Source organism: Homo sapiens, chromosome 5 (assembly GCF_000001405.40).
Source record: "Homo sapiens chromosome 5, GRCh38.p14 Primary Assembly".
Taxonomy (NCBI): Eukaryota; Metazoa; Chordata; class Mammalia; order Primates; family Hominidae; genus Homo; species Homo sapiens.
In genome coordinates, this window is record NC_000005.10 from 68,436,806 (window position 1) to 68,461,670 (window position 24,865).

General features: G+C 40.7%; 1 long non-coding RNA gene across 4 annotated transcripts in view, besides 4 other annotated features; it reads right to left on the reverse strand.

The window, feature by feature from the left end:
- Window positions 1-24,865, reverse strand: part of LOC105379013 (uncharacterized) — a 406,546-nt gene that overhangs the window by 10,494 nt on the left and 371,187 nt on the right. The window contains exon 1 of one of the 4 annotated variants that reach the window (XR_948413.3): window positions 8,089-20,622. The exons of the other annotated variants lie outside the window; for them this stretch is intronic. This is a non-coding gene — a long non-coding RNA (uncharacterized LOC105379013). Of the gene's footprint in view, window positions 1-8,088; window positions 20,623-24,865 lie in introns of those variants that run through there. 4 annotated transcript variants of the gene reach the window in all.
- Window positions 4,446-4,525: an enhancer, noted in NCBI's record as "active region_22634". NCBI's record gives its function as "activates an Ori minimal core promoter by ATAC-STARR-seq in GM12878 lymphoblastoid cells {active_cell/tissue: GM12878}" and the evidence as "EXISTENCE:reporter gene assay evidence [ECO:0000049][PMID:35858748]".
- Window positions 15,517-15,811: an enhancer, noted in NCBI's record as "tiled region #11081; HepG2 Activating DNase matched - State 9:DNaseU". NCBI's record gives its function as "activates a minimal TATA promoter and a strong SV40 promoter by Sharpr-MPRA in HepG2 cells {active_cell/tissue: HepG2}" and the evidence as "EXISTENCE:reporter gene assay evidence [ECO:0000049][PMID:27701403]".
- Window positions 15,517-15,851: a biological region, named in NCBI's record as "Sharpr-MPRA regulatory regions 11081 and 12221".
- Window positions 15,557-15,851: an enhancer, noted in NCBI's record as "tiled region #12221; HepG2 Activating DNase unmatched - State 9:DNaseU". NCBI's record gives its function as "activates a minimal TATA promoter and a strong SV40 promoter by Sharpr-MPRA in HepG2 cells {active_cell/tissue: HepG2}" and the evidence as "EXISTENCE:reporter gene assay evidence [ECO:0000049][PMID:27701403]".

A 24,865-nucleotide genomic window follows, 5' to 3' on the forward strand; every position in this document is an offset into this window, starting at 1 on the left:
TTGGGACAGATTTCTTATCAACCCTGGCAGCTAGCCGAGATAATCAAGGCAGGTAAGGAGGCAGTGCCTGGATAATGGAATGGGAGAGGGTTAATGAGATCTGATAGGACATCGGGAGGGGGGCATGTGGATGCTGTTTCACATGCCAGAGGCCAGGTCTGCTGGTCTGCTTACTTCCTTTATCCTTCTGATTAGAGCTGGAATGGTCCCTGCCCTCCCCACCAAAACCATAAGTGCCCTCCCCACAACTTGCCCCATTACTTAGACTCAACACTCTCTAAGAATCCAAACAGCTGACCACATCACATGTTCTGGCTTCTTTCTGTTTTAAAGGAATGAGGGCAAGTGTGTGTGTGTGTGTGTGTGTGTGTGTAGAAGGCATGTTGGGCTCTATAGCTGCAGATTCCCTTCCCTTGGGCTCTCTCAGCTTCTACCAGTTTGAACAATCCCAGGAACTGCACACAAAAGAGACAGCTGGCTATGAACATCTTCCCCATGGGGAGACAGCTCCCAGGTAGAGCTGAAGCTGCAGCTGTCATCCTCAGAAAGGAGCTGTCTCCCTGCCAGATGTAAAGCCCAGACCTTGACCATCTCACAGCAACCTGAATTTCATTTATTGGGTTAGCTGGGCCACAACAGGCAAAAAGTAAGGAGAACTGGCCTTCCTCTGCTTTCCTCCTAGCTGTGAGCAGACACACAGGCTCCCAAAGCTTGTTGGAAATGAAGGTAGACAGTGAAGTTGGGCAAGGGACAGCCTCTTTGTGCCTCAATTCTGTCAAATGTAACACAGACCACTTGACCATAGAAGTTCCCTCTGGTTTTAAAGCTGTAAAACTCTGTAAGATGTTACCACTGTTAGTCTGGCACACATTTAGAGGTATGCATGTGTAGAGAGACATTATACAGGTGTTTAACTTACATGAATTCAACTAAACAAGTTCTGTCTCTTTTGCATACTTAAAAATAAAAATGCTGTAAAATTATATTTTACGTACACATACACAACGTTATATACTTATACAAACATAATACGGGGCAGGGTTATATGCCCAAAACCTTGTATAACTAACTATACTTTATCAGTGACTTAGGTTTTTTCTAATTTACCTTTGATTGCACTTAACTTTATAACCTAACCCCACAGAAGGTGAGATTCCACTGTAATTATTACTGTGTTGCTAAGGAGGCAGTGGAGTATAAGGAGAAAGATGTGGGTTTAGGAGACAGATTGAGCTGGATTTGAGTCCTGGATTTGAATCTCGGCTTTGTTCTGTATTAATTGTGTGATCTTGGATAAGTTACTTAAGCTCTTCCAAGCCCAGTTTATCATCAAATAGGAAGAATAATGCCCATCTCGCAGGATTATTGTGAAGGTTAAATGAGATCATGTATGTGACACTTATTACATGCCTGGGACAGTGTATCACTCAGCATATGACATTTATTACACATGATTCAGCCCACATACATTTACATATCTAACACTATTTTATACAGCAAAATCAAACACTTCAGTAGTCATTTACGCACAGCAGAAAACTTCTCTGATGATCTGCAGATCACACTTTCCCAAGATGTGCTCCAGATTTCGCAGATGATTCTGTGGCCATATAAATTTGAAACATTTTACCTGTTATATACTTCTCCTCGAGACTCATGATATATTAACGTTAAAGGGTCTGAGAAGTCCCACAGCAAAAACACTTGATTAACTTGGTTTATCTCAGCCCTCTAACACTTATTAAGATCCCTAGGATCAGGTCCCTAGAGTCCAAAATACACTTTGGGAAGTGTTTTCAAGTGACCTAGGTCACTGTGGGCACAGGTTACTCTAGCTTCCAGAAACCCCTGGCTAGGCAGATGGGCTCAAGTGTGGCTGTCGGGTATCTGCATGAAGAAGGTCAGTATTTCTGGGTTTCACTGGTATCACAATCACCTGGGGAGCTTTACAAAAATGTAGATTTTTTGGCTCCACCTCAAAGTTGCTGAATTAGACCAGAAGGTCAGAAGTGTGCATTTTAAATAGGCATTACAAGCATCGAGCTAAATTTTAAGATGCACTGGGTAGGTGCTTGGAGTTAAGTTCAAGCAAGTGGTAGGAAGAAGACCTCACATACTTCTCCCTCTCATTCTCCAAGTTTCTAGAACTAATTTAACATGTGATTCAATGGACTAAAAGGATTTTTTCCCTGCTTCTTCACATGAACAGCACTAACGGGCAGGTTGGAGGGCTGCCATCAACAGAGTTTAATGTAGGTTCCTTTAATCAGATTGCTTTCCTCTTTCTAGCTTGCTGAGACCCTGGGCCTCAGGGAATGGCCATCTTGATCTCTAAAGGAGCTGTTTCTGCCAAAGGAGGGTGTCACTTGGGAAAACCACACTGTGTGACCTGACTCTCAACTACAGATGCTTCTACACAGAAGTATTCAGATAATGGGTGGCATTGAAGGAGAAAGCCACAGAAAGCCACAGAGAGCCTCCAGGCTGGAGGTATGAAAAGGGACAGTATGTTTTCTAACTATGGGAGAGGGGTATATTAGAAGTTGATTCTATGCTTACGAACCTTTCTGTTATTACTATTAGTAGTAGTAAGACTCTCCTTGAAAACCAGTAGGCTTAAGTCCTTGTTCTAGCCTTTCGGAATGTAAACGGGTCTTTCCAGAGGCGAGATAAGACCAGTCTCCAGTTTTACAGAGATGTCTTCAAGGTCATGGGTCCCATAACCCAAATGCAAACATGTGCCTCTGGAGCTAACCTGAGAGCCTGTCTCAAGATGTAATTGTTTGTTTCTTAAGGTTGTGGGAGATGTATTATTGTTATTTCTTCTGTTTTGCTGCATAAATTGTGTAAAATTTCATTCTGACCTTGTAGCCTTTTGCCAGCTACCATATGTGTGTGCTGTGTTGTGTGAATTCATAAATCAGTGTTGCTGTTGTTTTTTTTCCACAGTGATGTAGAGAGGTCTCTGTTTTTTGGCTAGACTTTGAATTCCCTAATAGTAGGAATGGTAGGTTGGACTTCAATTGTACTATTCTAAGCAGTAATGTGAGGTTCTTAAAATTATGAAGACAGCGTAAATTCTACCTTTGCTACAGCCAATGGGAGCTATCTTGGGGGAATTGAGGGGGAAGGAAGAAGGAGCTTGTGAGCCTGGAGCACATTGAGCAAGAGCATTAAGAGTCATGGTGGGGAGTGGGGATGTGAAGACCCTCCCAATGTAATTGCCCAGTGGTTTCTTCCTGCCCACTGCATGGGCAAAATCAATTCACTGAGACTGCAGTATTGCAGTAGAGAAAGTGTTTAATTGATGTGAGGCTGTCACATGGGAGACTGGAGTTACCACTCAAATCAGTCTCCCCAAAGGCTCAGAGGTTACGGATTTTCGAGGATAGTTTGGTGGTCAAGGGACTAGGGAGTGGGTATGCTGATTGGGTACACTCAGTGGGTATTGGGGATACAATGATAGGGGTGTGGAAAATGGTCCTTATGTGCTAAATCCATCTCTGGGTAGGGGGCCATTCGACTGGTTGAGTGATGCATTATGATTCTGGGTGAGGTCAGTCTGAAAAACATCTCAAAAGACCAATCTTAAGTTCTACAATAATGATGTTATCTACAAGGGCAATTGGGGAAGTCACAAATCTTGTGACCGCTAGTCACATGACTCCTAAGCAGTAAGAGATTATAGAAATTATACCTACATTTTAACAGAATTCAGCCCCTTACATAATTGTAATCTTGTGGCCTTTCATTAGTCTTACAAAGACAGTTTCAGCCCCTGAATATGGCACAGATCAGTTTCAGGGAGGGACTATTATTATCCTTGCTTCAAACCTAATTTATAAACTAAATTCCTCCCATGGTTAGCTTGGCCTATGCTCATTCCTGGTCTTTTTTATGTTTAACAAATTTGGAAAAGTTACTGGAGATTCACAGGAATTTGATTCCTCTCCAGGGATGATCTGCTTTGTAAAATGCAGAGGGAATGGGACAGTGGGAAAGGCTGGGGCCCTCAGACCACTCCCTTGCCATCCTCTTCTGGCCTCTTCAAATGCTTGTCAAGCAAAATTTCTGGTTGAATCATATGGCTTTGATTGAAAAAAAGGAGGTTGGTATGTGGGAAAAGAGCAAAATTTTTTTTACAATGGCATTGTTACAAGCTTGATCAAATATACCAAGTAACCTTCCCTTCCAAGAGTAATTAGTCAAACTCTTCTCTGTTTGACCTCCACTTCACTCCACCACCACACATGCTAGCTGTTGTGTTTCTCCATTTGGCATGACACAGGACAACTGGTCAGCTTTCCATATAAAGGAAAGATAATTTTTTGCTTTTAGCTAACATTTCCCTTTAAGGAACAGAAAGAAAAAAACAATTGGGGTCCCATGTTCCCATGGCTTCTATCCACTTTTCATTAGGCACCCCATGCACCTGCTAACCAGAACTCAAGCAACACTTTTGGACCGCCATCGTGTTGCAGCTGCCCCCCATCTGGGTAGCTCTGTCTTGAGTTTCTTCCTGTTCCTTGGCTATCTTTGACACAGTGACCCATTTTACCTCTTTCTGGCCAGAAGTGGCTGTTCCTCAGTGGGGATGAATCACTTTGTACCCATAACAATGCTGGCAATCCCCAAACAGCAGACACTTTCCACTTGTTCAAAGTCCCTGAACAGCCTTTGAAGGAAACTTAACAAACAGTTACCCCTTGGTTAACACCTGGTGTGAGGCTGCATAGCTTGAAATATAACTTTATAAACCACTTCAAAGTTGCTGGAGATACAGGTTTGGAACAGAAAGACCATTTCCCTCTAACCACTACAGCATATTTCCTTCCAGCCAAGCAGTAAGCCCCAGTGTAACAGCAGAATTGCAGAGTCTTCCTGATTTAGCACACTGCCATTTTGTCATGGCTCGTTTTGATCCCTCTCATTAGTCGGCCCAGTGTTACCATATCCAATAAATCAGGTATAGACTGGTTGCCTCCCAAAAGAAAGAATTTGCCTTTATTTTCTGCACCACACAGAAGCAAGCAGTAATTTATACACTGCCTGGAAACCAGTAGCACAAACACTGGTAAGTAAATGTTCAGCTGAAGCCAAGCTCCCCCTACTATTCGTGAAAGGAACTTGGATGCCCACTCTCAAGTGTCAATCATCTTGAATCACGCCGCTGTTGAATTTAGCTAATTTTTTTTTTTTCCAGAGTAGCATCTCTCATTAAGCCAAATGATGCCTTTGGGCACATTTTTCCTTTAAAATGTTTTACTGTATTTGAATAGAAAATAACTGAAATAGGAAAAAAATGTAAGTCTATTTGGGTGGTTGGTTATATAGCCAGGGTTAAGTGTTTATATTTTAAGTTACTATTTTTAATCAAAAGTTTCCCGATAATTACAGCCTAAAGGAAACCACAGTAAAAATATTAACCAGAAATTTACTCAATGTAATGGATAATTACCAAAGAATAAATAAATCATATTTAGGAATAGGAAAGAAAGAAAAGTGACCTTGTTAAAAGCTGTCAGCTTCACAGAGGTGAACGTCTTCTCCCCACTCTCCTCCTCCACCCTCCTTGTCTCTCCTTCCCACCTCAGCCAGGAGCTCAGTGACCTTCTGCACTTCCCCTCTGTTTCTATCGAAACTTGCCCATGGGAAAGATCCAAAACTCTTTCCATTATGACATAAATGATTGATAACTTACATGTTCCATGTTTTCAGATTATTCATTTATTTTAACAGACTGGAGAATACTTTTGACTAAAGAAAGAAGCTGTAACAGATGTCTTAGCAGCCAGACGATGGGTAAAGGATAGTTTTTGTCAGTAAGGATGGTGGTACTGGGGCATTGTCTTCCAAACCTAAGTGAGATTGTAATAGAAGTTTTGAAGCTATTAATGAAATATATCAATAAACATGAGATAAAACTACATGGTTTGACAGGTATATTGTTTTTTTAAAAATGTGTTCTAGGAATTTCAGTGGCTTCACCAAATGGAGTCAGTCCGACATGTAAGGTTTGGGCATTTGGGAAAATGAGCAAGAATGAACATTGAGGAGATACACACACACATGAACACTTTAAAAGAGTGTACTGTAGTCTTACAGTAAGTGGGTAGGAGAGGAATGGGGCAGAGAAAGCATCTGAGGTTCTTGGAGGACCTTGAAGGACCTGGGAACTATAGGACTATCAGACCCAAGGCCATTGCTCTGGGGTGCTCCAGACATCTGGGGAGGAAGAAACCTGGAGAAAGGCTGTAATATTAGGTAACTGGCAGGACATGGTGACCTTTTGTGAAGATAATTCCCAAAGCTATTGTTCTCATGTTAGAGACCAAATATCTCACTGTTCTGAAGAATCAGCCCCTGCCTTCCTCTCATCTCTCTCCACCACCTCCCATCCCCACACTAGCACTTTGCACTCCAGCCAAAGGCCTTTGTACTTGAATCACCCAATTTGAGACACTCTTACATTCCCCTAAACTTCTCTAGTTAACTCCTGCTAATCCTTCAGGTTTCAGTATGACAGTTACATCCTCCGAGAAGCCACTCTGTCTCCTTGCACAAAAAAGACTTCGTTGTTCTCACAGATCCTGAACTCTGCCTTAAAAACTACTGGTTTATTTGGGAGGCTGAGGTGGGCGGATCACGAGGTCAGGAGATTGAGACCACCCTGACTAACATGGTGAAACCCCGTCTCTACTAAAAATACAAAAAATTAGCCAGGTGTGGTGGCGGGCACCTGTAGTCCCAGCTACTTGTGAGGCTGAGGCAGGAGAATCGCTTGCATCCGGGAGGCGGAGGTTGAAGTAAGCCGAGATCACACCACTGCAGTTCCAGCCTGAGCAACAGAGTGAGACTCTGTCTCAAACCAAACAAACAAACAAACAAAACCTACTGGTTCTGCTTTGTAATTATGTGTTGATATGACCATTGATATATGTCTGTCTCTCCCACTGCTCTGCACACACTGCAAAGATGGGATCATATCTTGTTGGTTTACCTTTGTGTTCCCAGTGTGAAGCACAATGTGTGACATATAATATGTGCTCAATAAATGTTAATTAATTATTTGAATGAATGAATGGTACTTCTCATCAAGGCAGCTCAGGAGAATCAACAAGCTGTTTAGCCTTGAGTAAGTGGCTTAATCGCTCTAAATTTCAGTTTCCCTATCTCTAACACAGCATTAGTAATAGCACCTATTTCCAAAGTTGTTTTGAGAATTAAAGGAAATAATGCATGCAAATCACTGAGTACAAATCTAGTATGTAAAACACAATAAATGTTTATTATTATTACTGTTACTACCTGCATCTTTGCACCAGCTTTCTCATCTATAACTGATTGTTTTAAAGTTTCCTTCGGCTTTAAACAGGCTATGACTCCTACCTAATCCTAAAAGAAAAGTTCTTTGTTCTCTGGATTTGTCAATCTGGCAACTCTAACCATCAATATATTAACATTTTTTTTCCAGTTACAAAAATTCTGCAGGAACCAGCAATGATTCATCAACTTGTAATAACATGCATGAATTTAAGACATGGCCATAATTATTTTATGAACTTGCATTTAATGTACCAAAGTCTTCACTGTTCTCATAAGATTCTGGGAAGTGGAAAGAGAGGGTGATTTGGAAGGATAAAGCTCCTTTTCATCTACATACCTAAAGAGGGGTGCTTTTATTTTCCTTTTGATGATCTTATAATAGGATATCCTTGAAAAAGAAAACCAAAAGTAAGATATTTGTATTACACAGCCAAAATATTCAAGAGACCTGTGTTCCACTTGGCACTTTCTAACTCTATTCTGTATCTTTCTGGATTTCAACCCACATGAAAGAAGCAATATTTATTACCTAGTAACTGGATAAACTATGTGTGATATTTAACTTCAAGTACAAAATATTATCTTCTATGATCTTACAGTGTACTGGAGAGCTTTATGTCCTTTTTATGCAAGAGAAAGCTGAGGCTTCCTGGAGGAAGAGAATGACGTGAAGCCCACACAGCTATCCAGAGCTGAAACCAATGCCAAGCAAGCTCAAAGGTTTGGGCTTTATGATTAGACACCCCACTTCGCTTTGCTTACCTGCCAAATCCTGTAAGTGTGAGCTATACTTCATGTTTGTTTCCCATAAATACATCCTTATTGATAATGTCAATAAAGTAAATTTCATCACCCACTTGGAATGGCTCCGTCCTCGTCCCGGCAGTGTTTTGCCTTCCAGAAGAACAGAACAATGCACCATAGTTTCCAAGTGCCTTTCATTTGCCACTGGGACCTTTGCTATTTGGATCATACTTCCGCCTTCTCAGACCTTAACAAATAAAATATCTTGGTGCAAGCAATTTTCTCTGTAATGGAGGGAATTGCAATGATAAGCAAATTTTACCCAAATTCCTGTGAGTTTTCAATGCTTTATTTTAGGTTGACTGATGCTGTGTAAAAATGTTTCAATGACATCTAAAGCCAGAGGGCAAAAAAGTATCAAGAAAAAAAATTATTAAAACCAACAACCAATGTGTGTGTAAAGTAAAAAGTTTATATATAGTTCACCAAGCATCAATACTATAGACTTACTGGACTTTCAGCAACCCAGTAAGGTAGCTATGGCAGGTCTTATGATTCCCATTTTACAGATGAGGAAATTGAGGTCCATTCCGATTTTTTACTCAAAATCCTATGCTAGAGTTAACAATCCCTCAAAGTTCTTGAGTACCTTATTTATTACTGTTATTGTTACTCTTACCATTTGAAACCAGAGGGGCATTCACCTAAATTTTCATTTGCATGAGCAATCAAAGAAAATCAGAATTGGAATCACCTGCCAACATTTACTTAAAATAAATGTACTTATTATTTTCCAGACGTACTTCGGACAAGTTATTTTAAACACAATTGTGCATCAGTAAAAATCCACAGGAACAATGAACACTCCACAGGCTTCTGACTGAGAAAGTGAATAGGGAGCAGACCTTGTTATGGTGTCAGAATGAAACAATGCCTGGGAAGGCTCCAATACTGTTCCACAAACAAAACTAAGGAAATGGGAGAAGAAAGAAAAGTAAAGTATATTTATGTGCTGCAGGTCTAGCACTCCAGCAGGAAATTCCGAGTGAGAGCTCTCACCAGTGCCCTAGCCCTTGACCCTGAGGTCGTGGGGTTTTTGGGTCCAGCCAGGCATTGGTTGGCCACATCCACAGACTCCAGAGTCTTAAAGGGCCTGGGCCTCACTTGCCTCTCCCGTGTGCCCCAAAACCTGGCCACTCTGTCTGAAGGGTAGCCTCCCTTCTTGCTTTCACAAGCCTGTGGATGGCTGGTTTAAAGCAGGAAGAGCTGCCACTCTCCCTTCACACTTTACATCACCTCTACACAAGTCATTCACTGATTCCTGCCTTAGTAGGTGTTTAAATGAAGTGGTTGTTGCCTATTGACTGAGAATGGACACCTTGAAGAAACATACGATGTGCTTGACACACACTGCAAGTATTCCCTAACTTTATTACCTAAGAATCACTTGGGAGGCTCATTTACAATGCAGATTTCTGGATCTTATCCCTGGAGATCTATCTGGTAGGTTTGGAATGGGGCTGCAGCCCAGGATCTTAATCAAACAGCCCAGGTGATTTTATGTGGGGAATCTAGGTTCATATTTGAAAAATACCACAGTAATTGTGAAATAATTAAAATAATGAATGAATGGTAGCATTATGAATGTCAATAGTTGTTTCCCAAATTTGTCTTATCAAAAGAATCACTGGGACTACTGTCAAAAATACTGATTCCTAGGCCTCCCCTAGACAGACCTAGTAATCATAATCTCCAGAGAAGGTACCTGGGAATCTAAATTATTAAACAACTGCCCCCAAATGAGTCTTCTGATCAGGCCCATTTGGGGAATACCACTATAGGCTGTGGTCTCTGCAGTTCTCACAGCATTCGTTTCTTGTTCTTTGAAGCAGTAACTTGGTGTGACCACATTCACACAGGTACCCAAAGCTCCTATTGTCTCAGTAAAACTGCTCCTTCTGTGCAGTACCATTTTAGAAAAACTTGGACATCTCAGTCAGACCCCAAATGATACTTCCAATACATAGCCTATAACTGTAGATCCAAATGAGTTTTAATAAAATCAGATTTCAAAATATTCAATAATTGATACAGCATGAGTGCCAACCAATGTGGATAAACAGTAGGTTGTAAATAACCTGTACTTACCTTCTATTATTAGCCCCCAGTATATTTTAAATGACAGTTTTCAATTGTGTCAGCCTCCTAGAGCTTAGGAATACTGATTTATTTTCAAGATCCCCTTCTACTTTATCTCTCCCATCCCTATTAAAAGAGCTTGAGATTGGTAAATATCTTCAAAGTAATGCTTGGTAATTGTGCCTGGGTTTGGCTAATATATTTTCCCCTGTTTAATTTGTTGCATGCTCCATGCCCTGACATCTTATTCCTTACCAGACCAGAAGTTTTCAAATGTGCAAGCCTATTGTGCCTGGGGAAAAATGTTGAACTTTTGCCTTTGTAATAAGATATGCTCCAATTACCAACTTTAGCAATTTAATATAGTTGAATAATAACTGAATGGGACACTTTGTCACTCAGTCATTATTCAAGCTCCTACTAGGGGTGGAATGAACAGTTGCTGGAGGTCAGTCTATTCCTGAGGGAGCTCAGCCTCGCAAATCAACACTCTTGAGAATTTTTTAAAAAGCGATGTTATAAAAAAATAATTCTAGGAAGTACAAATCAAACTATAGATTTGTAAAATGCTATAAGAGCTTGGGTTCCATTTTTAAGAATGGCACAGTGTTTAATGTTAAGATAATTTTATATGTGGAATGCATGGTGGAGAGATAAAGCAATCACCTGGATAATTCAATCTAAGAAGCGCTTTGTGGGTGGAGATGATACAGATAGATGAGGTCATTTTCGCCTGGGCCACAGATATTACACATTTCCCCTCACCCTACATTGCACGTAGCCTCACATCCAGAAGGTATTACAGTACCCATGACAAGCTTTAAGCACCTATATCTTGCTTTGATGTGCACAAGACATTTCTGCTGAGAATTGCAAGGTCTCTTGTTTGTTTATAGCAAAGTTTGAAGACGCCAAGGGTGTTTATTTGTTTGGTTTAGGCTCAGGTTTGCTTGTGTGTTTTTTTCAGACGTACTGTAGGGCAATATTTTTCCATTTTGGGACTAAGACTTATTTGCCTATTAAGAGACTATTACATGCAGACTTTTAATTTATGTACTTAGTGCATATAATGTTCCTAAAGTCTCAGGGAAGTTAATCAAGAAAAAGTCAAGGGCAGGCTTCAGGAACTAGAATGTAGTCATTCAGGAAGGCCGTCTCTCCCTCTAGAATGACACTTTGTTGGGACGTGGCTGAGCCACAGGGTCTGGGGCCAGTGATGGCCACCTCAGTATCAGAACAAAAAGCAGCTCTAAGGAAAGATGTGGCACTCTTCCAGGACATCCAAGCCCTGCCTCCTGCAATCCAACAACCTCGTTTTACTCTCTGTGTGGACATTACTACCAAAGAGGTCATAGAAGCTTCCTGACCTCATTTCTCTAAAGCAAAGGAAGGATCTCACCTGCTATCTAGACCAGAAACGTCCTTCCTAGGGATGCTTAGAGGACTCAGAAGAGTTTCAGAATAAGTTCTGGAAAGAGTTCTGGAAGATGTTGGGGCGTCCTGAGAGATATGTACCCCTTCAACAGGGGGCTGAAGATCTCATGGTAGTGCCTCCCCATCATTCACCTGCTCTCCTCCCCCTGACCACTATATGCCATCCCTAGGGTTCTATAAGCCACAAACCAGGTGGAGGGACCAACTACAGGTCAAGAGAAGCTCCAGATCTGGGGCTAATAAATTGATTTAGGGGTTTCACAATTGTTGATATACTCTAGGACAGTGATTCTTCCTCCTCCTCCTCCTTCTCCTTCTTCTACTTTTTCTTCTTCCTCTTCCTCTTCCTCTTTCCTTCTCACATGGATACAGATGTAAATTGAAGAACACTTTTCCTAAATCACTAATTTTCTCATATCCACATTCTGATTAGATATCGCATGGCAGGGACCTTTCTCCAAGCCCTAAGAATGAATAGAAATCTAGATTCCCTCAGAGTCCAGCTCAGGAGACAGCACTGCTTACCCAGACTCAGTGGCCCTGACCCAAAGAATACTCAGCTTTTGTTCCAATGGAACCAGTATCCCCCTTTCCTTGCCCTGGCCCACTGCACACCAGGTCTTAGAGAAAACAGGTAGATTGATTTCCCCATAGCGGAGCTGCTGGGAGAAACTCTAAGCCATGCTTCAGTGAATGGAAGCCTCCATCAGCACCACATCTCCCTTGAGAAGCATCTGGAATGATCTTAGTTATTGTCTTTAGCTATATCCAAGCTGTGGCCTTACCTGACTCCTCAACTTCTATCCTTCTGAGCCCAGCCTGGTGGCCATACCCACCTCAACAATCAGTGCCAACCCAAGTTCCCCCTTCTGACCCATCCCATCTTTCCTTTCCTAGGGCCGCTCTCAGCCTTCGCTTCTGATTTCATATACCCAGCCAAGCCTTTGTCTAGCCCACCATAGCTGATTATTCAGGCTGAACATATATCCACTGGCTCAATCCAGGCCTATGCCCATCAGGAAGGCCTAACCCCATCCGAGGCCCTTGTGCTGGCGCAGAGCCTCCAGTGTCTGTTGCACAATTTGGGCACCACAGGGAACACATGACTGGCATCCACAAAGACAAAGATGGAAAATATGAGCCATCCATTTGGCAACAATGTTGGCATCTTCCTAAATTCGTGCTGCCAAGCTCTGACCAGAAAGATCTTGGCCTGTTTACTGCCTGATGCAGTCAGTCCAGACTCAGGGTGGCTCAGGTCATGGTGATAGAGCCAGCTATAATGAGATTTAGACATGCAAGAAAAAGACAGAGAAAGGGATCCAGACTCCATATCAGACACAAGCTAAAGGGAACACTAGAAAACCTTCATGAAATCAAAGAGGGAAGGTTTTTAAAATTTAGTAATTGGCCAAAAATAAACGTTACGTTCTGCTTTTCTTTTTTATTTGGTTTTCATAGGAGAAACTGTTTTCTGTCCACATAAAGTGTGTACGATCTTTTTTCCAGAATAAGGGAAGCAGGAAAATAGGTGAAGAATATCAAGTAACTGGAGGATGGTGTGTGTTATAATGGGGGAACAGCTGTGTCATTTGCTGCCTATAAAGTATTATTAATAATTTTGTGGCCAAAATAATTTCATAAGAACTTTAAAGAGAAGACGGAAAGAAAAGAACCAGTGCATACATTGATCTCATCCTATGCTCCCCCCAAATCTTTCAAGTTAAGTGTTATTTCTCCCACCTTGCCAACTGAGGCAGCCTCAAAAAGGCTAAAGGATTGCTCAAGATTACAAAACTAAAAAGTGATTGAGTTAGGAAAGGATTCCAGTCCACCAGACACAAAAGCTCACAACTGTCAAGGATTGTCATTAATTTAGACAACTGTCTTCTCCCTAAAGTGTATACTAAAAGAAGTTTATCAGCATTCCAAGACGATGTCATCAGAGAGACAGCATGGTCAAGTTACCATTGAAGGAGTCCTTCCAGTCCATTTCCCAAAACTAAGAGTTGAAAGGTGAGTTTTGTAATTGGTTCGCTTTGAATAGATTATTTATTTTAAGCCGCCTGGTCTGATGATGCAATAAGCAGGGGAACAAGCTTGGTTTGAAGATAGATTTCTGATCTTCTGGGAAGTGTTTCTACTTTAATAAGCTTTGATTCCCCAAGGAAATTCCTAAAGGCATTCAGTCACAACCCACTGGGCTGCCAGGTCTCTGTAAATACACACATGCGTGTGTGCACACACACATACAGGAATAGATAATTTTGTAGTCACGACAGAGAATGCTGCTGACAGTAAGCAGAGAGGAAACTATTGGGGGGTAAATTTTTCTTCTTGCAACTTGAATCCAGTGGTAGGGGGTTCACAAATTAAGTGATGATGGACAGATTAAGAGGAGAAAAGATGGCTGGGCATGGTGGCTCACACCTGTAATCCCAGGGAGGCTTAGGCAGGTGGATCACCTGAGGTCAGGAGTTCAAGACCAGCCTGGCCAACATGGTGAAACCCCATCTCTACAAAAAATAAAAAAAAAATTAGCCGGGAGTGGTGGTGCATGCTTGTAATCCCAGCTTCTTGGGAGGCTGAGTCAGGAGAATAACCTAAACCCGGGAGGCAGAGGTTGCAGTGAGCCAAGATCGCACCATTGTACTCCAGCCTGGGCGACAAGAGTGAAACTCCACCCCCCACCCTCCCCCCTCCAAAAAAAGAGGAGAAAAGACATGATTTATTTATACTTACAGGCAGGAATACTCAGTAATAAGTAACTCACCCATTAGCCAGAGGAAAAAAGGTTATATACCAAACTTAACCAAGAAGGAGGGAGAGTGGTTAGGGAAAGTATGGAAGGTTCTACTGGACTTTTTTTTTATGCTAGTGGAAACGGGCAGTCTATTTCCATGTCAGCTGAATTTGTAGGACACTTCCTAGGAGGAGGGTTAGTGGCAGCTGTATTTTCTGGAGACTCTAACTTAATCAGATAAGAGAATTTCAGATAAGATTTCTTTTTGAATCTTCTTTAGCTCCAACATTTTCATTTAAAAATTATCTTTATATCACGTCTAGGGGTCCAAGTGGGTCCCCACATGTCCTTCATCTGAAACTATTCTGGACATTTCACCAAAAAAAAAAAAAAAAGTGAGTTTGATTGCTGTGGAGAGTGATTGATGTTGGAAATTGTGAGGTAAGAGATCTGCAAAGGGACAGAAAAATGAAGATTAAAGGTTGGAACCGAGCAGAACCAATTTCTGAGTATAGAAGGCAGCCAGTCCAGTTGAGAAGTTTTCTAGATGTTGAGTCTGAAGCCTCTTGAGTGAAGATGGTAGTGAGAATGTCACAATAATGGTTATTTGCTGGAGCAGGGCATGGAAGATGCACATGTTCTGGTAAACTTGCTGGGTATCCCACATTGTTGTGGTGGTTATCAATCTTTTGAAGCTATATCAAGTTGTCCAGCTTCAGCACTCAGAGCTTCAAGAAATAGGCAGTGCTAGTTCTCAGTGATAACAAGTCAGGAGAATGGGGGAAAAATGAAAGTGTTAATTATTGACAAAATGTGCAAGATGGTAGAATCCAGTTTAGAAGAGATGAAAAATAGCTCAAAGACAATCAACAGAACGACAATCTGCTAACTCACAAGGGGTGTTATAATTTTCCATTGAAACATAAAATTTCTCTCTTCAATCACCTCCATTTTTATAAAAGATAAAGTAAGATTACTCTTATTTACAAAATAAGCCTAGCCTCGTTAAATATGTCCTGATCATGTAATAAATGAAGCAAGAATTGTAATTGACCACACAGGCCTTTTAAAGTTTGCTTTGCTGGAAGTTTTATAAGGAATCTCAGACTGGACTTTTAAAAGCCTTTCTTGGCTAGGAGGCCAAGCCAAGAACTTGTCATCAGAACTTTATCTGCAGTACCTATAGATTTGGGTGAAATCCTCTCCTGTTGAGGTATCCAAAGCATTCTAAAGCTCCTGGGCCTGCCAGGAAGTGATCTTCATTACTCATCTGTGAGGCGGGGGACACTGTAAGCCAGGTACAAGGTCAGTTTTGCTAAGAGGGCTTTGTGAACACTGGCTCCACAAAGTCAACCTTAGTTCCTTAAAACTGCCTAGTCATGTCTGTTTCTATGCACATCATTCTCAAATACGACATTTCAGTTAAAGCCTTGGTGATATAACTAATTTCCTCAATTATGTCCGGTTACAAGGAGAATAGATACTTATGGAACCTGTGCAAAAAACTGTATCACCATAAAAATAAGAATATTCAATATGAGTTTCTGAATTCTGTAGGGATTAGGTAGGGAGAAAAATATAAATGTTTCATTCTTGTTTATAAGATATAATCTACTAAATTGTCAATTATAAATAGGTTAAGAGAAAAGAGAAAGGAATTCTTTATATTCAGAAAATGGAATATTAAAGAACCAGCAATGTTCCAAACAAAAATAAAACCCATAAAAATTATAATCAATCTTCATCAGTTCATTCAGTCCCAGATGATAACTTATTTTTGTTCTGCTCTATCTTGGGTTAGCAGTTTTATGAACCCATCAGCCTCTCCACTAGAATTCTGGAAATTCTTACTCAGTCCAGTGGTATGATCTCAAAGTCATTTATGCAGAGCCATCAGAATCCTTTACCTTGGATAACCAGTCATTTCTATGGGTCTCTAAAATGTTCCCTGTTCTGAAGATGATGCATTCTGCCTTACAGCTGATTGGAAGAGCTTTCAGGAAAGCATCAGAATAAAACAATAACTCCCTGTGAACGAAAAAAGACAAAATGGCAATGGCTAAAAATTTGATGAGAGTTTGTTATAAAAATAATGCAATTGACAAGGATATGTGGTTGTTCTGATGACATAAAACATTTAAGATAGTAACTGGAATTATGACTACTAACATTATATTAGGACATATGGACAATAAGCGTTTTAACTCATATACTTTCTGATGTACTTATATTCATAGCATTTACCCATACAAATATAACATAGGGAAGGTTAAGTATATCTTCTCATTGGATAATTCTTCCCTTTTCTAATGTCCTGACTTCTTTAAAGTATCAGCAAGCATCATGAGATAAATAGGAGAGGCTTTGGGATTGATAAGAAATATAGGTGGGCTTTGGGTTATCCTTAGAGCCCTATTACTGTCTTTGTAAAGACTTAATTAGTAAGGTGAGGGCAGTATTTTTAATTCTTCAAAGAATTAGGGGACAGTGTGTTAGTCTATTTTGTGTTGCTATAACAATATCCGAGACTGTAACTGCCCAAAGGGTTCTTCTTACCTCCTGCTCAAATAGTGATGATTTATCAAGACAGGATAATTGCAAAGGAAAAAGGGTTTAATGCACACACAGCTAACCAAATGGGAAACATGAGTTTTATTACCCAAATCAATCTCCCTGAAAATTCAGAGACTAGGGTTTTTTAAGGATAATTTGATGGGTAAGGGGCTAGGGAGTGGGGAGTGCTGATTGGTTGGGTCAGAGATGAAATTATAGGGGGATCCAAGTGGGTTCTTCTTGCTGTCTTCTGTTTCTGGGTGGGATCGCAGAACTGGTTGAGCCAGATTACCAGTCTGGGTGGCACCAGCTGGTCCATCAGAATGCAGGGTCTGAGAGATATCTGGAACACTAATCTTAGGTTTTACAATAGTTCTCTTATCCATAAGAGCAACTGGGGAGGTTAGGAATCTTGGCTGCATCATATCCTGAACTATAATTTCGAATCTTGTGGCTAATTTGTTAGTTTTAAGAAGGTGGTCTGGTCCCCAGTCAAGAAGAAGATTTGCTTCAGGAAAGAGCTGTTATCATCTTTGTTTCAAAGTTAACCTATAAACTAATTCCTCCTATAGTTAACTTGGCCTATGCCCAGGAATGAACAAGGGCAGTTTGGAGGTTAAAGGCAAGATGGAGTCAGTTAGGTCTGATCTCTTTCACTGTCACAATTTTCTCACCATTATAATTTTGCAAAGGTGGTTTTATAAGTGAGTAATTAATAATAAACAGAAATGTATCGTCACACAGTTCTGGAGGCTGGGAAGTCCAACATCATGCTGCTGGCATCTGACAAGGACCTTCTTGCTGCATTATCCCGTGGTGGAAGGTGCAAAAGCAAGAGAGAGGACAAGAGGGGGTCATACTCATGCTTTTATAAGGGGACCAATACCACCCATGATGGCCTAATTATCTCTTAAAGGTCCTAACTCTTAATACTGTTACAATGGCAATTACATTTCAACATGAGTTTTGGAAGGAACGAACATTCATACCATAGCAGATAGCCTCAATAATAGCATTAAGGAATTGGCCTACCTATCCAACTACAATATTTTTAAATTTGTTTCTTTATATTGGAGATAAGATTTCCAACTAAGGTGGAAACCAAGAGATTTTCAATGATCCAGGACTCTGGATTTAGAGCTATGTGTCTTTGGAATGTTTTTATAAGTCATTCAACAAAGACTTTAGGATGTATTCCTTTCCTCTGAGTACATTGCTCCACTTTAGCCCAATTAACCTTCAGAGTGGGAGGGAAGACGGAAGGGAAAACATCTTTAATAGCTCCTCTCAGGCCCTGAATATCAGCCTCCAACTGGGCCATTTGCAGGAGGAAGATAGTGGTGCAGGGGACGGGGAGAGTTTATGGTGAGTGTGAATTTCAATTTTTGTTCTAGATCTGATTTCTGTTCTTTAGTTTTGTTAAGGGAGTCTTTTAGGCTAGCTGTGATACTTTTTTTTTTTTTTTTAAATGTCCTTTCATTCTGATCCTCCCATATTGGTAACAGGACATTTGTTTAGGATGAGAGCTTTCTGAAAATCCTCTCAAATTTAAAAGTTGTTCCAAATCAAAGGATCTGCTGTGTGGCCATTGATGATTTAGTATCTCCAAAGGTACACTTTTTCCAAAATGTGACTCATAATGAATAAACATATTTTACGGCTTAATCGTGGACACAGGAAACACCCCCATAGAGGGTGCAGAAGATGCAGCTCCCATGATCCAAAATCAACTCCAAAGACAGCCAAAGAGAAGGAAAGCAAAGATCATCATTGCTATAGGCAGTAAGAATGATACTTGTGAAAACTCCTGTCTCCAGTTGCCCATAAAAATGATATGACTTTGATCATGTACCTGCGAATCCATGACTCTGGGCAGGTAATACTGAGATGGGACTTCTCTCCACTAGCAAGACAATAGGAAAGAGAACTTAGACAAACCCCCTTAGCACTGGCAACAGTCGGCACGGTGCCAGCTGAAAATGGGATGCCCAGGATACCCAAATTTCTCTTCAGTCAACTACAAATGCTTGAGCCCCAACCTGACAATTGGCTGCTTCTGAGCACAGAACAGACAATCTGCACCCCACAGCATGCAGAAAGCCAGAGAGTGAGCACTCTGACTGAATCCAAACCAAACTATCAGGACACAAAATGAGACAGAAAGGATACAGGAGCTATCCCTGGGAAGGAAAAGATCTATTTTAAAAAGTATTCAAACCAAGTCACAATACAGTAAGTATAAGTTCTGAGTGTTTTCTCCCGGAAATCTAAATCTTGGGAAGAAAAGACAGAAAGATGGTCTTACCATCCTCACTTGACGGGATTCTGAGCAGAAATCTGGGAACCTGGCTGCTAAGAAATTTATCTTTGTCAGCATAGTCAGAGATCCTGACATCTTAGCTGCACTTTCTGGAGGAGCAGAGAGTCCCAGCCATCCCATCCTCATCACCAAAATTATTGGGAGAAAACTTTTCCTCATCCAATTTAGTTCCAGTGGTTGAAGGCCCATGAGTTAACTGACAATAGACAGATTAACAGGAGAAAAGATAGGCGATTTACACATACACAGGAGTTCTCAGAGATAATAACTCACTCAATAGCCTGAGATTAAAGGGTTCATATACAAAATTTAACAAAGGGTAGAGGGGTTAGGGCTTCAATAAGAAGGTATGGAAGGTTCTGTTGAGGTTTTTGATGCTAATAGCAATGGACACTCTGTCTCCCTGGCAGCGAAATTCCAGGAAACCCCCTCAGATGGGGGTTAATGGCAGCAGTATTTTCGGGAGGCCCTGCTTTAGTCAGGTAAGTGCAGTCGAGATAACACTTTTTTCTGTATCTTCTTTAGCTCAAATGTTCTCACTTCAAAAATCTTTATGCCAGCTCCAGGGATTTGAATGAATCCCCACAAGACTCAAGACATATATCATCTCAAGAACTTTCAAAAAGGAAAACTTCCTGGTTCCTTTCTAGGGCAAATTTTGAGATGGACAATATTTCTATGACATGCTTGAGAGCTTCAGGAAGGCTCAGTGAAGTTCCTGGTGACAGAGACATCACTGCCTAATACAAATGCACTGTGGGGTTACGGATAAGGTCTCTGCCCAGGATGACATCATCCTGGGCCTCATTCCAGTACTGTAAGCTGTGACTTCTGTGCCCAGAGTGAGGACTGCTGTTTAACTTCGTTAGGTTCTCAAGATACAAAGCCTGCTACTTACCTTCAGAAAATCATTGCACAATATTTCAAGAGTGAAGTCATATCAGGTTTCTTTTTTCTGTTTACTTTTGCCTTTCACTCATCACAAACAGGATAAAAGGTAGACCGTTTATATTTTTGGGTCACAAATTGATCTTATAACTCCAAACACTGACTTCCAGGGAAATTTTGTTACCAGTGGAAATATCTAGACGAAAAGGTGAAATTCAAAGTGCTAATTTCAAGAGGCAGTATCTTTTATAAGTAATATGAATTCGTGCTATTTGTCTATAAGGAAAACATGCTTCCTGTTCAGTAAAGTCATTTTCACAACCTCAGGAATGCTGCCATTATTAAGATAGTTAACAGCATCTTCTAAAAAAATTGTGGACTCAGGTTCATCATTTCAAACAGCTGATACACAATACACAATGTAGAAATTAAAGATAACTTGGCCAGGTGCGGTGGCTCACATCTGCAATCCCAGCTACTCGGGAGGCTGAGGTAGGAGAATCGCCTGACACCCGGGAGGCCAAGGCTGCAGTGAGCCGTGATTGCGCCACTGCATTCCAGCCTGGGCAACAGAGCAAGACCCTGTCTTAAAAAAAATAACCGAGCCACCAAGTGATCCTATCTTAGGAGATGGAAACCCCCATCATAAGAAGAGTAGGTAAATGTCTGCAGTCTAGCCTCTGGGAATGAAATTTCTTAAGGACGGGCTTCATGGATTTGGGGCTCATGAACCTGCAAGAACACTGGCAATCAAGAGAGTAAAAACATAACCAGAAGGGTTCAGAGTTTGGGAAGCTTCTTCGTAGCACTAACTGAGATATTGCTAATTAGTGGCTCTCCAAAATATTATTAAAATAATCTGTTGATTCTGGACAGTCTTTATTAGGGGAGGAGGCTGTCCTGTGCATTATAGGATGTTTAGCAGCATTCCTGACTTCTACCCTCTAGATGCCAGGAGCAGCCCCAGTCATGACAACCAGAAATGTTGCCAGACATGGCCAAATATCCCCTGGGAGGCAAAATCATCCCCAGTTGAGAACTGATGGCTTAAAGTTAATGGAGAACACTATTTACAAAAAATCTCACTAGAGTCTCGGGGTGCAGGTAGGGGATGGAGCAAAGTTGGGAGTATTTTTGAGATTGTGAAGTCTGGATTTTTTCCAATGTGTATCTTTTAGTGTGAGAGCCAGGGAGCCCTGGCTGGGGTCTAGTGAGGACCATAATCTAATCACTTAGAATGGGCAAACACAAGATGAAGATTTTGAGGGCAAAGACTCGGAAATGCTCAAATTTTAAAATTTTCCTTGAATGCTTTCTATTGACGAGTTGATGTGTCTTTGGGGAAATTCCTGGAATGAACAATACAGTTATTTGTAACTGTTATCTTCTTGAGGAAGAGTTTTCTGGAACAGTAAAGTTATGCTGATGAAGATCCTGGAATAGTAAAATCATGTTAACGTAGACTGTGTGGATATAAATACGTTTTAGATCTCAGTGAATTCCTTAAGTTCCTTGATTTTTTGCCCCTGCCCTTTTGCCCGTTATTACCACATTCAGAAAAGCCAATAAAATACAAAAAAAAAAAAAAAGAGACTAAAGAGGCAGCAGGAAGAAGGAGGGGCTCGGATGTTGCTGCTGGGCTCCATCCTGGCTTCACCACACTGACACCTGCATGACCTGGGTGAGCAACATACTTTCTCCAAACCTCAGCCTCTCCATCAATATATGGAAGTTGATAATAGTGACTCCTTCATCAAGTTGTGGTAGAGTTTGAATGAAATAATACATGACCAGTGCCCTAGACATACTATGCACTCAGTGGGTATAAATCAACTGTGTAAAACTAGGAAAACATGCCATCACTATGGTGCTTCTATGCTTAGACCAACATGCCTTTGGGGACTGCCTCATTCTTTCTGAAAACTAAGCAAATACTGGGTTTAAAAGGAAGCAGAAGTGTTGTCTCTGCACCCTAGAAATATTGTGTAGGGAGAGGTGGCTAACTCTCCTAAATCCTTCCACCCATGTTTTTAACTGAGCATGCTCTTGGATCACCACTAAAATGCATGGGGGAATTTAGGCTGTAATTTAGTAATGCCACTGTTTATAAAAGTAGAGGAACAATGAGAACACCATGGCATTAGTTTGGAGTAGGTTAAAAATTACTTTTCTGAAGCTTATCTACTAGAATGTTTATCTAAGCTATTTTTCATGGGACGTTTTAAAGACAATACCTTCCTTCAATAGCCATGACCTTGAATTCATTACATGGTGGAATTCTACTGCTTACTCTCTCCTAATTCTGAAAGCCAGCCATATTCTTCAAGTGGGAGACTCATTTGTACAGTGCCAGGTGCTGATCTAGGCACTTCATATGAACTTTCTCCTTTAATCCTCAGTCTGTAAGGTAAATACCGTGATGAGAAATCTGATACTCAGAGTCAAGCAATACAGTGAGGAGACCCAGCTGACACACAAGTGGAGGCAGAATTTAAGCCTTGTCTAGTGGGCTCCAAAGTCGATGGTTCTACTGCAGCATGTTACCACCTACATGTCTATTTCTCAAAACAGCAACAAACAGAAAAACCCTAAGATAACACATCAAACATCCTAGTCATGGTTTTACAGAGTCTGGGTCCATATGCAGTATTTGAACAGATAAACTGGTTTCTAGTATGTTGGCAAGGAAGGGGCAATCTTGCAAGGTGGATAGATCTAATCTGATTGTAAGGTGACTGAAATAACCAGACACCAGCCTCAGGGAGCCTCATTGCCAGTCCAGTTGTTTGCCTAATTTTAACCAGTGAATGAAGTAGATCCAATCCATTGGTTGACACTTAACTGCTGTTGATGGGGCTGAGAGGAAGAAAAACAAGTCCGTCCCCTCTCTTATATACCATCCTGTCCCCCAGTGCAATCTGAGTGCCGTGTAAATTTGGCAAAGGGATGTTTAGACAGCAAAGGTTATCAACAAAATGGTTATGGGCCAAGGGAATTTCACTGAATAACCCTGTGGCTGGGAGTGACACTGGAATTAATTGTCTCCTAGTGTCCTGAAGAGTAGGCTTCCTAGGATGGTCTCCTTTTTTATGGTGGTGGTAATCTTTTTATTATTTTTCACGGTGGGTGATTCATTAAAAGAACAACTAAATGCAATTCAATTTCTAGGCCTTTGTAAGGTTTTTGGGTTTGGTTTTTGTTTTTTAACATGAACCAGAGTTCTTTTTTCCATCTCAGCTCTGTGAAAATGCCAACTGTGTGATTCTGAGCAAGTCGCCTAATCTCACTAGGGCTCAGTTTCTTCTCTGTAAGAGAGGGATCCACTATGTGACCCCTAAGGTCCTTTCTTGCTTTTAAGTCAAACTGATTCAGATGTTATTAACTGACTAGTGCCCTCTACAGGCAACTTCCTCCACCGTGTAAGAATCCAGGAAGAGGATATTTGCAAAATTCTCTTATTATATTTAATGTTGTGACTTAGTGTGCAACATAATATTTTGTTATGTAATGAACCATGCTGTGAAGCAAATAAAAATGTTAGACTTCATCTAGACCTAATTTTACAGATAAAGAATATAAGGACCACCATGGCTGGGAACTTTTCCAGTTCCTTTGGGATAAGGCTGGGGCTTGGTTACAAATCCCTGATATTCAGCTTAATAGTGTCCAGTGGTGACCTTTCTAGTCTTTTATGGTTTTCTTCAAAACTCTCTTTCCTTCACTTCTCAGATAACATTGGAACTCCGCATTTTCTAAATTTTCTATGTACTTACTATCCTTAACAGTTGATGAACTGTGGATTTTTCCACTAGAGTGGGAAATGGCTGTGTAGAAGTTGCCTGGTAATGATGTGAGCACCTCCTGTGAGGGTTACTTTCTTGCAACCTTTCCTGCTACTGATGTGAAGGTCCTTTACTGACATTGCTAGTGGAAAATGTATGCATGCTCAATATCTGATTGATTCACTTTTAGTTCAAGGACTGCAAAAATTTTTAATCCTTCATGCGGAGACCTACTCAGAAGTTGGGACACATTATTCATTTCTAAGGTGGAGGACGTAGAAAAAATGTCCTGGACAGCTTTCAGTGAAAATCTGGGTCTGCTTAAGCCTGCTTTAAAATTTTCTAAAATGAATTCATGTTTTAATTTTTATTATTACAAAAGCAGCATTTGTGCCTTGTCGAAAGTTATAAATTCAGATAAAGAAAAATAAGAAAACGATAGCACCATATTCCTACCACCCATAGATTACCACTGTTAACACCTGTGTGTATATCCTTAAAGCTTTTTCTATGCGTGTATAAATATACATATACATATTTTTACCAAAATGAGATCATGTTGTACATGCTGTTTGTAACCTGCTTTTTTTAGTTAATGATCTCCATCTTTCCTTGCCAATAAATTTTCATCTTATCTAAAACCCAGTCTGTATTCAAATTCCTCCTGCTCGTCCCCAAAAATGTCCTTTCCAGTTGGTTTGTCCAAACCGAACTCAAACCTAGGGCCCTGCATTGCATCTAGTATTATGTCCCTTAAAGCTCTTTAATCTAGCATGGTTTCTTCCCTCCTTTTATTATTTTTTTCATGAAACTCCTTGTTGAAAAAAACAGGGAAGCTTTCTTTTGTTTTTTTCTCTTTCAGATTTTGTTCTTTACATAAACCAGATTTTTTTTTTAAAATTGCCCAACTTTTTGCTGTATCTTCACCTGCAAGAG